This window comes from Homo sapiens, chromosome 22, assembly GCF_000001405.40.
Source record: "Homo sapiens chromosome 22, GRCh38.p14 Primary Assembly".
In the NCBI taxonomy this organism is placed as follows: Eukaryota; Metazoa; Chordata; class Mammalia; order Primates; family Hominidae; genus Homo; species Homo sapiens.
This window is the reverse complement of record NC_000022.11, coordinates 47,186,304-47,202,613: the sequence shown is the minus strand read 5'-3', so window position 1 is coordinate 47,202,613 and position 16,310 is coordinate 47,186,304. Positions and strand designations below refer to the sequence as shown.

Genomic DNA, 16,310 nt, shown 5'->3' with positions numbered 1-16,310 from the left:
ACATCATCGCTCTCACCCACCACCCTGGGGGCCACCGTAATGGGGCCAGGCCTAGTTGCCTGCCAGCAGGGTAGCAGTGTGGCCAGGCATGGAGGGGCGGGCACAGAGGGTCCCCAAGGCAGAGCTGGCCCCGGGGTGATGCTGCACTTGCACGTGGAGCATGGGGGCCAGGCCAAGGGCACAAAGCTGGGGCTGTGCTTTGGGGTCCCAGGGCAGGAAGTGGGAGTGGCTCCCGCTTTGGGGGACCTGGCCAGGGGCATGGCCGTTGTGCCCACCCACCAGTGGCACCAGGTTCCTGTACCTCAGGAGGATGCTGTGCACAGGGCCGAGTCCCCGGGGTCCACCCTGCACTGGGGTGATCACCAAACCTGACACTCCCAATGGCCGGGCTCAGGGCCAGCGATCCACTCCCACGGGCATCCCCTCCGCGCAAGGCTATAAGTGAGCAAGGGGGAGCCCCGGGCTGAGTGCTGGGGCCATGGCAAGAACTTGCAGTAATGTCACCCCTGTTCCAGATGCCAGCCTGGGCTCATCGAGGACCTGGAGCCCCTGCACCAGGCTGCAAGGAGGTGCGGCCAGGGCTGCCCACATGTTCCACGGAGCAGGCGGGAGTCCCGCCCTTTCAGGAGCAGGATCTAGACATCTCTGTGCTCTGCACCCTTGGGGGCCCGAGAAGGTACCCCTGCCTCCACAGGCTCAGGGTGTCTGCTCCAGCTGCCTGGCCTCTCCCTGCTCCCAGCACCTGCTCCAATCTTGGACCAAGGTTGGGGCTGAGCCCAGGTGCTGTCACAGCCTGGCTGGGTGTGCAGACGCTGAGGGCAGCACTGACAATGCCAGCTTCTTGCCACATCGGCCCCCTGTGGACTTTGGATGCCAACAAGTGCAGGAGGGAAGCCAAGCAGGGAGCTGAGGGTGGCTTGGCACTGGCTTGTAGGTACCCCTTGGCACAAGCAGCCTGGACACCATGGATGGTGGCAAGAGGCAGACAGGCTTCTGGGCCGAAGGGGGCGGGTCCCCGGTGAGTCCCCACTTTCAGGCCAGGGAAGGCCTGAAGGCTGGGGGCTGGGCTGCCAGTCCCGCGGACCAGAGTCGGAACTTGTGGTGCCTTTTCTGGGCCCATCCATGGCCACCCATGGACCAATTGGCATGTACTTCCTCTCCTCTGAGATCCATAAAAACCCTGAGCTCAGCCAGAGCAGAAAAGACGACAAGACGACCAGCTGCAGAGAGGAGCTACCCTCTCTGCAGATAGCTGAACATTTGTCGGGACACCCCGGCTGTGGAAAGGACCTGCCCCCTGTGGGTCTTCTCTGAGCTGTTCTATTGCTCAATGAAGCTCCTTTTCATCTTGCTCACCTTCCACTTGTCTAGGTATACCCCATTCTTCCTGGTCGCAGGACAAGAACTCGGGACCCACCAAATGGCAAGGCTAAAAGAGCCATAACACAAACAGGGCTGAGACACGCCCCTTGCTCACCACGTTGACGGCAAAGAGAGGGTGAGAAGAGCTGTGCCCCTTCCAGAATCCCAGACCTGGGAGCTCCCTGAGCCAGGGCTGTGACACCCTGTTTGGGGTCCTGCAGTTCCTGGCATCTCCAAGCTTCCAGGCACCACCATGTTCCCCAGTGCCAGCTGTGGAAGCTGTGTGTCCAGCCGCAGCTTCACAGAGAGCCGGCACCCATGCCAGAACCTGGAGCTCCCCGCCCCGCTGCAGCCACCGGCATGTCTAACTGTGCAGTGGCCGGACCCCACGCTCACTCACACACCCCTCACTGCTCCGTACCTGACTTGCCCTTGGCAGGCGTGGGATCCAGACCGGTAGCGTGAGCTGAGTACAGCCTGCCAGGCCGAGTGGGCAGCACAAGCCCAGACCCAATCAAAACTGGACAAAGGTGCCACTGGCCATGGAGGTTTCTGGCCAGAAAAGTGACAGCCCAAGGATCCCATAACAGCTGCGCCGCATGGCCATTCTGGAGAGCCGTCCCACATCTGCTGGCCCGAGCCCTCCGCTTACTGAGGAGCAAAGCCAGCCCCTCAGCTCTCTGCGTTTGTGCTTCCTCCTGCTGGCCCCTTCATGTCTCTTTCCAAAGCCCTGCATTCTTCCTGCTTTGAAGCAGGGAAGAGCCTCCACACATTTCCTGGCCTTGGGTGGAGACCAGGTCACTGCTGGGGATGCCTGGACCACATCCACGTGTTTCATCCCAGCTGCTGAGCAGCCTTGAACTCCACGCCCTCCGACTTTGAGTGTGTGATCCACGGCACGCAGGAAGCACTGTCTTTGCAGATGTTAATGTACTCCCTGTCCGAGGGCGGATGGGAGCAGAGGCCAAGGAAAGCTGCCTGTGATACCACGGTGCTTCTTGGCAGTTTCCCAGATAAGAGGAAACCTCCCCGCTGTAGAGAATCCACGGGTCAAAACACACCTGCAATATTTCCCTCTAATATCCTGGGTCTGTATTTTGCTCCTCAAATTTCTCTCGTGGGAGACAGGGCCGTTTACATCAAGCTATTGGGGATCAACAGTGGACGGCGCAGACATGTGGTCCCTGCCCTCAGGGGTGTCAACACCTAGAGAAGAAATCTGAGCCCACGGCTGGGCACACACAGTTCACGTGGAATAAAAAAGTCGGTGACTGGATACAGGGTGTCCATCAGTGAGGTGGTCCCGGTGGGTGTGAGCAGGTTAATCAATTGCATTCCACGGGTTATTTCCAGATATGAGCGACAGTGTCTAGACAGCTGGGCGGCGTTCTCACGGAGGCCCCCAGGTGGGGCTGTGATGATGCCCAGGGGCAGGGCCAGCAGTTGTTGGGGTCGAGCAGCCTCCTGTGCCCGCACTGGGCTCCTGCCTTCAGGGAGACACAGAGCCCTGAACAGCGCGAGATCAGCGGGGTGAGGGCCGGGGGCAGGGCCGGCGGGTGGTGTGGGTGCAGATTCAGCAGACGCACCAACAATCGGATGGAATCAAACACTTTCCAGGATCGAAAAGTGCTGGGGGCAAGATCAGGGTGATGCATCCACAGTGACGGGGGGAGGACCACTTCAGGGTGGGGCTCAGGGTGGTCCAAGCTGAGCCTGAATGACCAGGAGGACCCCTCCACCCGCTGACGTCTGGGGACAGAACATTCCAGCCAGGGAAGTGCTAGTGCAGAGGCTCCAGGGACAGGAGGGCCGGCGTGGCCAGAGGGAGGGCGCGGGCGTGGCTGGGGATAGCACGGGAGGATTGCGAGTTTCCTCTGGTGCAAGGGTGGGGCTGGTAGGACACGCTAGGCGAGCCTTTCCCAGTTATGCTGAAGAACGTGCGTGAGGCTGCATTCACACCGCCACCAGGAGTCAGACTACAGCGGGCTCTCAGGCCCAGGGGCTACGGGAAGCCCTTTCTGCATAACTCACATTCTGCGGGTGGAGAAACTGAGGCATGGAGAGGTTAATTAAGTCTGCTGCCCAAAGTCACGCAGTGAGTAGGATTGAAACCATCCAGGGAGACGGTGAGGAAGACCGGGCGGGGGTCCAGCCATGCGAGGACCACGGTTTGGGCCCGGGTGAGACCCCTGAGCATGGAGGGCCAGGAAGGGGGACACGGGAGGGGTCCTGACAACAGTGACCACGGCACTGGCGTCCACGGAGGAGCCCGGAGTCCCCTGACTCAGGACCAAGCCATTGCCAAGACGCATATGACCTCCTGAAGCCTCATGGGCACAAGGGGCCCGCGAGTCACCACAGTCTGAAAGGCCCATGCACCAGCCCTTGGAGCCCCTCCTTCCACAGGGGCCGTGGGTGGACCCCGAGCTGAAGTGGGGTGAGCTGAGCAGCCCTGCACCTTCCGAAAGGCATGAGGGCGGCGGGGCTGCGCCACTGCAAGGCAACAGCTCCTGGATCTACACTTCCAGAGTAAAGTTCTTCAGGCTGCTTTCCACACATAAGGGCCAATTTACTGTATGTTTTTTTCCCAAAAGGAATCATCCGCTGAGCCAAATGCGAATTGTCACCAACTTCCAACAGGCAGAGATATAAGGCAAGTGCATTAAAGCACCGTGAAGTGAGCGGCCCTTCCAGAAAGGGCAGAAATCATGATTTTATTGTCATCTTCGTCTGTCATAATTTACAATTTCACTACACTCCAATTACTGCGTACTTGGAGAACGTTTGTTAATGTCCCCAGCACCCTCAGCACGCGGCCCCCACCAAGTGGACAGTGTAACTCTCCACTTAGCACCTCGTGCAGGCCCCTGGGGTGTGAGAAAGGGACACTCCAGTCCCCGCCCGCCGTACTCCCAGGTCCAGAGGAAGACGGATGATGCCATTCGTGAGAGCACATGGTGCTGTGCCGCCCTCCCAGCCCTGGCCTCCTCGCTGGCACAGCCTCCCTGCATCACACACCAGGAAGGGCGCCCCAGGAGCAAGCAGGCAGAGCCACATCCAGGTGTGAGCTACCTGGGGACTGGCGATGGCCCTACCCACCAGGTAAGGCTGGGGCCTGTTTCCCCTCGGGAAGGAGGCCAGCAGGCTCCGGGAGAACCAGGTAGAGTAGAGAGTGTGTGCCCTGGAGACATCCTCCTGGAAACTCAGGCCTGGGCTTAGGGTCCCGCAGCTCTCAGGGCCCCATAACGGGTCTCAGTCCATGGAACGCGGCTCTCACCTCACATCCATCAGCAGACATTTGCCAAAGTGGAGCCAAGCCCCGGGGCCCTGGGAACACAGAGCTTCCAGGCAAAAGCCTAACCATCCCAGAACAACAGGCAGAAGAGCAGGGCTGTGAGGCCCTCGCTCGACAGTGGCTGCCTGAATCTGTGTCATTTCAGCAGCACCTGGACCTCGGTGGAAAGACAGCGCCTCCCCCCACTGCACCAACAGCCAAGAAATATGGTGCTCAGCCCAGCCAGCCCCTCCCGCTGGGAAGGTGGGACGCAGCCGCTGCCTTCTCTGCGGCCGGCAGATATTTATGGTTTGTTAATGTTATTGCAAAAACCCCTCTCTGATGAAGCCGGCTCAGGTTGTTTAAATTAATGACCTCAGGTAGGATCACTAGGAGCGTTGCCCAGCCCTGCCAGAAATCCTGCATGTCAGCAAAAACTCTGTGACCAAAGCCACACTGGAGAAATAGCCATTAGCAGTGAGCCGCAGAGAGGGGCTCTGTGTCCCGGCACCCACAGGGCGGGGGCGGCCCAGGCAGGAGCAGGATCCCGGATGCAGGGGCGGAGCAGCCCCACCGAGAGGCTCCAACACCCAAAGCCTTGCCAGGCGCTGCCCACGTGGGAGGGGACCCTGCTCACAGCCAGCACATGCGGATGTGTTCCAGGCTAGCAAAGATGCCCCCCACCCCGGGCACCATGCCCCCCGGTCAGATCTGCATGACCAAGGGCACCAAGAGCACCCCAAAGGGTGCGTGGGGACTGAGGGGGTAGCTGGGGCTGGATGCAGCACGTGGTTCACTTCCAGCCTTGATGGAACATCGCTCTGGTGCCCAGAGAGGCTGCTCCTGCCCCAGTCCCCTGTGTCTGGCTGCCCCAGAAACTGGAGTGAGGTTTGCCTCAAGAAGCTGCAGCCCTCTCCACTGAGAAGCTGTGCACAGGGACGGGTCTGGGGATGTCTCGGGCTGCCAGTCCTCAGGCTCTGTCCTGCTCCCAGGCCTCATTCTCCAGGTTCCCAGAGAAGGCATCCACACACATGCAAACACCAATACGCACATGCATGCATGCACACATGCATCAATGCACGTCTGCACACACGCACATATACCCATGCATACATACACATACACATACATACACACATATACCCATGCATACATACACATATACACACACACACATACCCAATATGCACATGCATGCACACATGCATCAATGCACATCCATACACACATGGACATATACCCATGCATACATACACATACACACACCAATGCACACACAATACACATATGCATGCATGCACACATGCATCAATGCACATCCACACATATGCACATGTACCCATGCATACATACACGTGTACACACACATGCACATATGCACACGCATCATACCATACACATATGCACACACGTCACACATATACATGCACACATGCATACATATACATGTCTGCACACCCACAGCAGGGAGCTATGCAGGTCAGGGCTCAACACACCCTCAGGTTCTACCTTAATGGAGGGCTCCTTCCTTCTTCACAAGGTCCCTGGATGCCAGGGGAGAAGGAAGGCACTTCCTGGCAGAGGTACAGAGGGATATGGAACCAGCAAGGTTAACCTGGCAGGATCAGCCCAGCCCCAGGCCTTGGTGAGCCTCCTTCCTTCCACCCAGACACTGAGAGGGCAGCCCAGCCTGTCCAGGCAATCAGCAGCCATCAAATGAGAGCCAGGCCAGCCGAGGGTCCCTCTGCACCATGCCCCCCATTCCCACTTGTCCCCAAGGGCCAAGCCGCAGATAACCTCTGTCCAGTTATTCAAGATGTCAGGTTCATCTTCAGTCTTACGGAAGAGAAGGAGAGAGAGGAGGTGAGTGGCGAGTTGAATGAGTGGTGAGTCAGCTCACAGGCGAGCCGACACCAGCGTGCCGGGAGGGATGACCCACCTGGAACATCAAGCAGGTTTAGGCCAAGATGGCCCAGACACTGAGTCTCCTCTCCCTCCCTCCCTCGCTGCCTCCTGTCCTAAATTCATTTTCTTAAGAGTCACTGGAATGAGTCCAAGTGGAACCCTGTGTCCTGCAGCCCAGGGGGAGGGCAGGCAGGGTTGGAACTGAGCCCAACAGCCTGGAGACGCTGTTCACCACCAGCTGGGACCTCACAGCAATAGCTTCAGCCCCTCGGGCCCTGGCCGAGGAGCTCAATGTGGAGGAGGACTGGGTGTCACGGACATGGAGTGGGAGGAACCTTGTCCCGACCTAGCCCTAGTGGCCAAGCGTCTCCCCACCAAGCTCCCAGTGCAGGGGTGCACACACCAGGAGGACGGTGGGGGGGACACTGTCCTGGGAGGAGGAGGGGCCGGAGTTAGGATGGAGGAGATGACACAAGGGTCAGGGAGGAGTAAACCAGATGGGGACCATCATCACCACAATCCACCCTGACTCCTGCCTGGAAACCCAGACTCCCCACCCAGGGAGAGGGGATGACTTGGGATTCCAAGAGGGCCAGGAGGAAGCACAGAGGAGGGGGCTGCCCTGAGAGCTTGGAGGGGCTGAGGCCTTCTGGGAGGGAGAGAAAGGAGCGGGGCCCCCAGCAGGCTCGGGCTCCAGGGTGCAGGAGAAAGAGCAGGGCGCCCTGATGGACGGCACTGCCATGCCCACCCGCCTCGGAGTCCCACCAAGATCAAGCCATCAGGCTTCTTGCAGCTGCCTCCTGACACGCCAGGCCTCGGGTCCCAACCTCTGCAGAGAGTCATGCTCAGCAAGAAGCATCGCAGCCACCAAGAGTCCCAAAAAAGAGCCCCAAAGCTCACCCTGAGGACACCCCATCTGCTCCTTTTCCCAGAGCCCTAAGCTCTGGGGACCTCAGCCTCAGGGCATCTGCAGCTGGTCCTGGTCTATTTTTCCAGAATTTTCTCTTGCTCCTCTTTACCCATCTCCGTACTCCCCCACGCTGTGTTCCACACTGGATCTCCAGCCAGGCCCCCTCCACCTTTGTTCATGCTCTTGTCTTTCCAAAATGTTCTCTTGTATCCAACAAACTCCTATTCATTCTTCAAGGCCCAGCTGAAATGTCCCATCTCTCTGAAAACCCTGACCCTCCCAGGTTGGAATGAGCCCAGATTGTGATGACTCCCATAGCCCAGCTCTGGGCTGGGATCAGGGTGTGCCTGCATGAGTGATGCTGAGTATATGAAACCCATTTCCCTTTATCAGGAGAAAGCTTTGGCCTGAGACCCATGGGTGGGTTATGCCCTAGCCTGCACTTCCTGCTGTCTCTAAACCACTGACCCCTTTGGATGGGCCCAGCCAGACGGAAACAGCTCTGCACTCCCCCGCCTTGGGGATCTGGACAGCACAAAAGGGTGGCTGGGTGTGGAGTGCGGAGAAAGGGCCCTCACCTTTCCAGGGGCAATTATGACTCCTAGAACCTTGAACTGCGGTCTTCATTAGGTTACCAAATAAATTATTACATTATTACATTTTAAGTTGACAAGTAAATCTTATTATAAAAGTGTAATGACACCATAAAAGACATTTTATTCATCCGTTTCGTCCTCTTGTTCCCGTTGACACTTCATTACAGCTCCCGAGACATGGAGAACTAGAACATTAATTTGGCAAAATCGATGGAAATCTTTCAGGAGCTGGGGTTTCCAAGTTCTGCCCCGGGGCCCCGATGAATGCTCAGGGAAAAAACCCCCAGTCTGGGGGGTGGAAAGAGCTTGGAGGCTGGGGTATGGACACCCAGGGAGGGCTCCCCTAGCACCACCCCTGGAGCGCCCCCCAGATTCCCCCAAGGCCCTGCCAAGGTCCAGCTGGCCCACACCTCCCCTCCCCGTTGGACGGTCTCTCAGCTGCACTGGTCTGTGGCCTTGAGTCCGTCATCAGACACCCTCCGTGCCACCTTAAAACCGGGGATGTCTTGATGAAGAGACAGAAACAATTAGGGCAGCGGTGAACACCCCAAGCCTGGAGCCGAAAGCTCAGGTGACTAGGGGACACTTTCCAAGGACCCGGGAGGGTTGGGGCTGAGGCAGTGCCTGTCGAGGCTGGAACCCTGGGGTGGCTGGTGGGAACTCGCCCTGTCTTCCTCCTACTCTCTAGTTTCCAATTCGTTAATGGCCTCTACTACCTTCATGGTGGAAAACATACATACAGGTATAAGTATGGATAAGACTTGATGGTAAGTGCACAGCTCACGCCTGTCAGCCTTCAGGGCTCGGCCAGCAGCACCGGGCCCCTGCCCAGGACACGGCCCCTCCTCCCTAGGGTCCCCGAGGCACATCCTCTCTGTCTCTCTCTTTCTGTCTCTCTCTCAAATCAATGATCAATGTGTTTTTCCTATATTCTAACCTGCCTGTAATTTGGAAATTGTGCTATTTCAAACAACTCAATTTAAAATTGGGATTTTTGAGGTTGATCATTTTTCTCTTCTTCCTACCACTACTAGCAGGATGCTAGACAATTTCTAAGTAAATGATTTGAAACTGGAATAAAAGCAGTAAATGGTCTCCACTGGGCTGTGAGGAGAGACCAGGAAGTGAGTGGAGCCCAACCTGGGGACTGACAGGTGATGCCCCGCCCCTGCGACGCCACCCCCAGGACACCACACCCCCTGCGATGCCACGCCTCAAGATGCCCCACCCCACGGTGCCAGGCCCCAGCAACGCCACTGCCACGCCCCCATGATGCCATGCCTCAAGATGCCCCGCCCCATGACCACGCCCCCGCCCCCTTTCTGCCTTGCCACGCCCACCGGCCCCAGACACCTTGAGGATGGTTCTGCTCTGCAAAGGAAGTGGGGGTCCACTCCCCTGCACATGGAGGCAGCTGGGCCTCCCCCTTGCTACTGCAGAGCTGGGGAACCCCTACCGAGGTGCTCCCCCTGGTCCACCCCGCGAGGCTGGAGTGGCCAGGCTGGAGCCTGTCCCTGCCAGGAGGAGGGGGCGAAAGGCTGCAGGTGCACTCCCGTGACATAGGGTGGGGGCTGGACAGAGCAGGACGGGGCTCTCCAGGGTCTCACAGATGGAGCTACCACAGGAGAGCCCTCGACCATGGCCCTTAAACACGCCCGGGGGTTTTCCAGATACAGAAGCCTTTACGGGCAGAGGGAGGAGCCCAGGCAGAGGTGGGGGGTGCGGACAGCCGCTGGGTCCCGGCAATTAGAATGCAGGGGACTGGTCCGGGGCAGGCGGGCAAGAGGGGAACTGCAGACAGGCCACACATCCAGGGGTAGGAGTGAGCACCAGGGCTCAGACGCCACAGGATCGGCTGGTTCTGTGGAGGGGCCGGGGAAAGAGGCTGGTCAGGGCGAGATGAGGAGTGTCCCAGCAAGCCACGCCTGGACACAGCCTGACCTCCCGGGGTCCTGAGCAGTGCCCTGACCCCACATCCCACAGCCAGTGGCTGCAGCCCAAGCCAGAAGCCTCCGCCCCGCTGTCCCAGGAAGTCACTGGAGAGCAAGGACTCCTGGAGCAGCCATCGGTGCCAGGCCCCAGCAACGCCACACCCCCATGATGCCCTGGCAGGCACCGTCCTCACACGGGCACAGCTGGCAGGCCCAAGGCAGGCTGAGCCAGACCCCACGGCTCCCAGCGGAGGAATGCATTCTCTCAGAAGGACAGGGGGCGGGGGGGCCCCCCGCACACCAGTGAGGAGGAGGCAGAGACGGGCATGCTGACCTGGCCCCTTTACTCCTTAAGTTACTGGTGGCTGCGCAGGGCCCAGAGCACGCAGGGCTAGGGACAGCACTAGGCCTGAGAGGAAGAATCAGGGATCCTCAGAGAGACAGCAGAGCAGGGCCCCCAGGGACGCTTGGGAAACAGAGTGCACGGCCCCCGTGAGCCGGAATCCCCCCACGTCCAGTCCAGGCTGCTGCCAAGGAGGCTTCCAGGAGCCAGCGCGTGCTGCAGACTCAGAGACGCAGGGATGGCATCCTTCTCTTTCTCTCTCTCTCCTTCCCCTGCCTCCTCCATCTATCCCTCTCCTTCCCTCCCTCTCTCTCTCTTTCTCTCTTTCTCCCCCTCCTCTCTCCTCCCCTGTCTCTCTTTCTCTCTGGGTCTCTTCCTCTCCCTCCCCCTCTCTCTCTCCCTCACTCTTCCTCTCCCTCTCCCTTCCTCTCTCTCCCTCTCTCTCTCCCTCTCCATCTCTCTCTCCCCCGTCTCTGTTTCTCTCTCCCTCTCTCCATCTCTCCCCTCCTTTTCTCTGTCTCCCTCCCCTCTCTCTCCCCGCTTTCTCCCTCTCTCCCCCCCTTTCTCCCTCTCTCCCCCCCTTTCTCCCTCTCTCCCCCACCTCTCTCTCCCTCTCTCTCTCTCTCCCTCTCTTTCTTTCTCTCTGTCTCTTCCCCTCTCCCTCTCATTCCGTCTCTCTCCTCCTGCTTTTCTGAACAATGAACAATGACCATCACTGGGCTCACAAAATTAAGTATCTGAAAGATGTTAGGAACTTACCTTGGTTTCTATGGCAACATGAGAATAATTCACATTTCCCAGCCAAACTGGAGGCAAACACATTTTTCGTCCACTTTATGGGTGGCCAATTATTTTTAATAGCCGGGTCAGCAGTGGCTGTCCCTGGGTCCTCTGTCCTCATTAGCATTCCCTGGTGGCGGGTGCATGAGGATGGTGGTCACCAAGTTTACTAAGAGACTCTGACCTGGTGTGGGGAGCAGAGATGACCTTCTGCTGGTTGTCACCAGGAAGAGCGAGGCTGGGCCACCCTCACTGCTGTGAAGCCCCGGCCACATCCACCTAGCAGCTGCTGACTTGGTGGAGAGGTGTGGGCCCTGACACCAGCGTCCTCACTCATGGGCAGGTGACCTCCAATGTCCTACTCTGCTCTTTGACACCGGAGTGGAACCATAATCCCCACCCCAGGGGCCATCAGTCACTCCACAGATCCATGCCTGGAAGACAGCAGGTGTCCAATAAATGCTTGTGGAGTTAAATGACCAACCAATCACCCTCCTCGGTGCCAGGCCAGCCTCGTCGTGCCACCTGCTGGATAAAATCTCTCCTGCCCAGCTGATCACCAAGACAAGAGCTGGAGGGATATCCCTGGGCCTTCAGCCTCGACAGATGAGGATGGGGGAACCATCAAGCTGCCCCAGGTTCACTGCAATGGAATAAAGCCAGGTGCAGAAAACAGGTCATGTGGGTCCGCCCGGCCTCCCTCGGTGCAAAGCCCTGGGCCGAGCTCCCTGGTCTATCTGGAGCTCATTCCTTCACCTCTCAAATGTTGTCAAGGACCCGCCACGGGCCCAGCCACATGTCCAGCCCTGTTCTAGATGCTGGGACAGGAATGGACGAGAAAGACACGGTCCTGTTTCGTGGAGTTGGTGGCCTAGTGGAGAGAGGACCCTAGACTAGTCAACAACACGGGATCCTTGTAGGTGACAGTCATACCTTGAAGAAAATGGAACGGGTTAAGAGAGACGGCCAGGGGGAGGGTGCGGGCGCTGGGTGGGGAGGGCTCCTGGGGAGGGCAGCACTTGCCCCCTGGCTCCTTCCCAAGCAGGCCTCTTAGCTTCTCCAGGCCAGACCCCACGCAGGGACAGACAGATGGGGCGGGGCGGGGCTTATGCCACAGCCACGCGGCTTCCCTCCAGGAAGGAGAGGCAAACTTTGGGACACAGTGGCCGAGGCCGCTGTGCCATCCCCCCACGTCTGTGCAGCACAGGGGGCTACCAGCCCTCCTGGCCCCTCACCCCTTGGCTCAACAAGCCACAGGCTCCGGCTCCCAAGGGCCAGGCCAAGTCTTTTTTTGAAAAAATCAATTAAAAATTACAGAAAAGAAAATGAATAATTTAACAAACACTCTCATACCCACAACCCGGGATTAACCCATTAACATCTCTCTGGTTGTATTGTACATACATCTGGTTGTATCTGAATCACTCAGATTATAAGAAAGTGTAACTTAATATGTATAAATGTAAGTTATATAATTATTTAAATATATACAAAAATATACAAATATATGAACGTATAATATGTAAATATAATAGAGATATAATTAGCTCAAATGCATATACAACATCAGGTAATAAATAACACAGCTCCCGCTGCCCTCCTCCCCGCCACCTCGCCCGCCTTCCCACGGTCACGCTGACTGGCTCACCTCTCTCCATCCTGTGCTTTCCGTCTTCACAGACATGTCCACAAATGATACACACGTGGGTCGCTGATGTGGCAGGGGAACAGCAGCTCGGGGGGCTGAGCCTGTGGATGCCCCTGCCCGAGTTCCCATCCCGGCCCCCAGGAGGGGCTGCGTCTCTTTGGGCAGCTTTGTGGTTTCTCCGAGCCTTGGGTTTTCCCTCTGTAAGGGAACAAGGATAGTGCCTCCTCGCTAGTGCTAGGGCGGCTGGGGTCGTCCTGGTGAGATCCTAGAGACCCTCCGGCTGGCTGTGAGCATGGTGGGGGATGCCTCCCCGGCTGACATGGCAGGGGGTCAGCTGTGAGCACTAGGGGGTTGTGTGCCGGCTGTGAGCATGCGGGGGGCTGGCTGTGAGCAAGGGGGCGGCAGCCGTCACAGTGCCCTGCTCCATGCTCCACTGCTTTCTTACTGGTGTTACTGGTGTCCACATGAGGACCTTATGAACCTACTCATCTTAACCGGGCATCGTACGCACCCCGCCACGCGAAGGAACACCTGACACTGTGTTAATTTCCTATGGAATGACTAGGGTGTGTCCACTTTTCTCTATTGCAGCCACGCAGAGCACGCAGGGAGTCGCCTATAAGAGAGATCTGTAAGCTGGGACTCACCCACCTGTCCCTGGACTCTGAGGTGGCTCTTGGGAGTGTGTGCCGCCCCTCTGTCCCTCCTGAGGGAGGAGTCCCTTCCTCCCCGGTCCTGTTAGGTCTCTGGCTGGCCGTCACTGGTCCCAGCCTCAGGTCCCCCTTTTCCTGGGCGCTCTCTGGGAGCCTCACATCTGAGGCACTGTCCGTGTTTCTCTGGTGGCTTCTCCAGTTAAGGTGCATCCAGGCTCTCATGGGAACCTCTTGCTCCCTCTGGTCCCTGCTTCCATTGCTCCGTGGAAGCCCAGCCCCTCCTCCTCAGGCTCCCTCCTGGCCGTGGGCTTGGGGAGACCTTTGCTGAGCTGCTTCTGTCTCCATGTAAACAGATGCCATATTCTCTTGACTGTAAGCACCACCCCCAACCTCATTGTCCTTATTTGTTTTAAAATAAAATCCACCGCCAGTATGGGCCACTGAACACTAAGGCCACGGCCTCAGGTTTTTAATTAACCAGAACAATCTGAAGGAGAGGTTGGTCGGGTCCCCCCACGTTTTCTTCCTTAGATCTGAATCCAGTTCAAAAGCACCAGGACAGGATGTGGCTGCCCTGCACCTGCCGGCTTTGCTGGCCTGAGGATTGACAGACAGTACATAGGCGGTCTGGGAACCCTGTGGACTCCCACAGCCAGCAGACGTGATGTAACCATATCCTAAAATCATACAAGCAGCCAATGACCCTCTCTGTGACTGCGTCTGGACCCCACTGCCCCAGCCCCACCTCCCACACACCTCTGCTGGATGTGGCCAGGTCACGCGGCAGCCAGCAGCTGCTCCCGAGGTCCAGCCCCCAAGACATGCCTTGGTTCAAGCCCCCACCACTGGCTGTATGCAGTTCTTGAGAGGCCGGAGCCCCTGCCCAGGCCACAGGCGGTAAAAGCCAACGGCAAGGCAGCAAAACCCAGCTTCATGGTCCAATGAAGTCCCAGCAGGCCACCCAGGCAAGACCCCGGCATGGCCTGAGGCTGGTCAGATGCAGCCATGGCTTTGAGCCCACCCCGACTGTGCCAGCGACTCCAATCTCATGCATTCTTTTATGCCCTAAATTCTGATCCCTGAGGTTTGGGAAAGCTGACATAAAACCATCTGAGCATGGGGCCTTTGGAAAGGAGAGATCTGAGGCAGCCCTTTCAAGTTACGGAGTGATTTGTGATTTATTCAGGGTTTTTATTTCCTTTTTGAGTCAATATTTGTCATCTGTATTTTTCTAGAAAGTTGCCCATTTCAGCCAGAATTTCAAATTCGTAGGTACAAAGCTGCTCATAGGATGCACTTATGATTTTTTAAAATTAATAGACTACAGTTTTTAGGGCACTCAGGTTCATAACAAAAATAAGCAGAAAGTACACGTAGTTCCCACCTAACCCCACCCACATCTGCCCCCTCCAAGGCCGGCGCCCTGAACCATAGACACATTTCACAGACATAATCGATGACCAACATTGACACATCACTATCTTCCAAGGTCAACAGTTTGCATTAGGTTCACTCTTGCTGTTGTGCAGTCTATGGATTTGGACAAATGTACACCATTATCCACCATTACAGAATCGTACAGAGCAGCTTCACTGCCCTAAAAATCCTCCGCGCTCTGCCTATTCATCCCCCTACCCCCAGCCCCTAGAAACCACTCATGTATTTACTGTCTCCGTGGTTTTGCTTTTTCCAGAATGTTATATACTTGAAGTCATAGTGTGTAGCCTTTTCAGATTGGCTTCTTTCCCTTAGCTGTATGCATTAAAATTCCCTTCATGTCTTTTCATGGCTTCACAGCTCATTTCTTTCTTATCACTGAAGAATATGCCATTGCATGGGTATATCACAGTTTGTTTATTCACTTCTTGAAAGACATTTTTGTTGCTTCCAAGTTTGGACAATTATAAGTAAACATTCATTTGTAGTTTTCTGTGTTTGAACATTTTCAACTCAATTGGGTAAATATCTAGAAGCATGACTGCTGGATTATATGATAAGAATACAATTAGCTTTAGAAGAAACTGCCAAACTGTCTTCCAAAGTGGCTGCACCATTTTACATTCCCACCAGCAATGAGTGAGAGTTCCTGTTGCTCCACATCCTCATCAGTATTTGGTGGTGTTGGTGTTTTGGATTTTGGCCATTCTATTTTTAATTTTGTAAATATTTTTTAAATTTTTGTGGGTATATATGTGTATATATTTAGGGGTACATAAGATGTTTTGATACAGACATGTAATGTGAACTAAGCACATCATGGAGAATGGGGTGTCCACCCCTCAAGCATTTATCCTTTGAGTTACTAACAATCCAATTACATTATTTTAAAATATACAATTGTTGTTATTGACTATAGTCACCATGTTGTGATATCAAATAGTAGGTCTTATTCATTCTTTCTATTTTTTTGTACCTATTTACCATCCCCACCTTCCCACACAACCCTCCACTACCATTTCCAGCCTCTGGTCATCAAACATCTGTTCTCCATGTCCACTAGTTCAACTGTTTTGATTTTTAGATCCCACAAAAAAGTGAGAACATGCAATGTTTGTCTTTCTGTTCCCGGATTATTTCACTTAACATAATGACCTCCAGTTCCATCCATGTTGTTGTAAATGATGGGATCTCATGCTTTTTTATGGCTGAATAGTACTCCATTGTGTATATGTACCATATTTTATTTATCCATTCATCTGTTGGACAGACACTTGGATTGCTTCCAAATCTTGGCTATTGTAAACAGTGTTGCAATAAACAGGAGTGCTGATACCTCTTCCATACACTGATTTCCCTTCTTTTGGAGATTTTATATATATATAGTGGGACTGCTGGATCATATGGTAGCTCAATTTTTAGTTTTTTGAGGATCTTCCAAGCTGTTCTCCACAGTGGTTGTAGTTAATTA

The 16,310-nt window shown here is 55.8% G+C and overlaps 1 annotated feature.

Moving 5' to 3' along the window:
• Positions 9,696-10,196: an enhancer, noted in NCBI's record as "H3K4me1 hESC enhancer chr22:47588168-47588668 (GRCh37/hg19 assembly coordinates)". NCBI's record gives its function as "activates a minimal SCP1, AML or CMV promoter by ChIP-STARR-seq in naive H9 embryonic stem cells {active_cell/tissue: H9 hESC(naive)}" and the evidence as "EXISTENCE:reporter gene assay evidence [ECO:0000049][PMID:30033119]".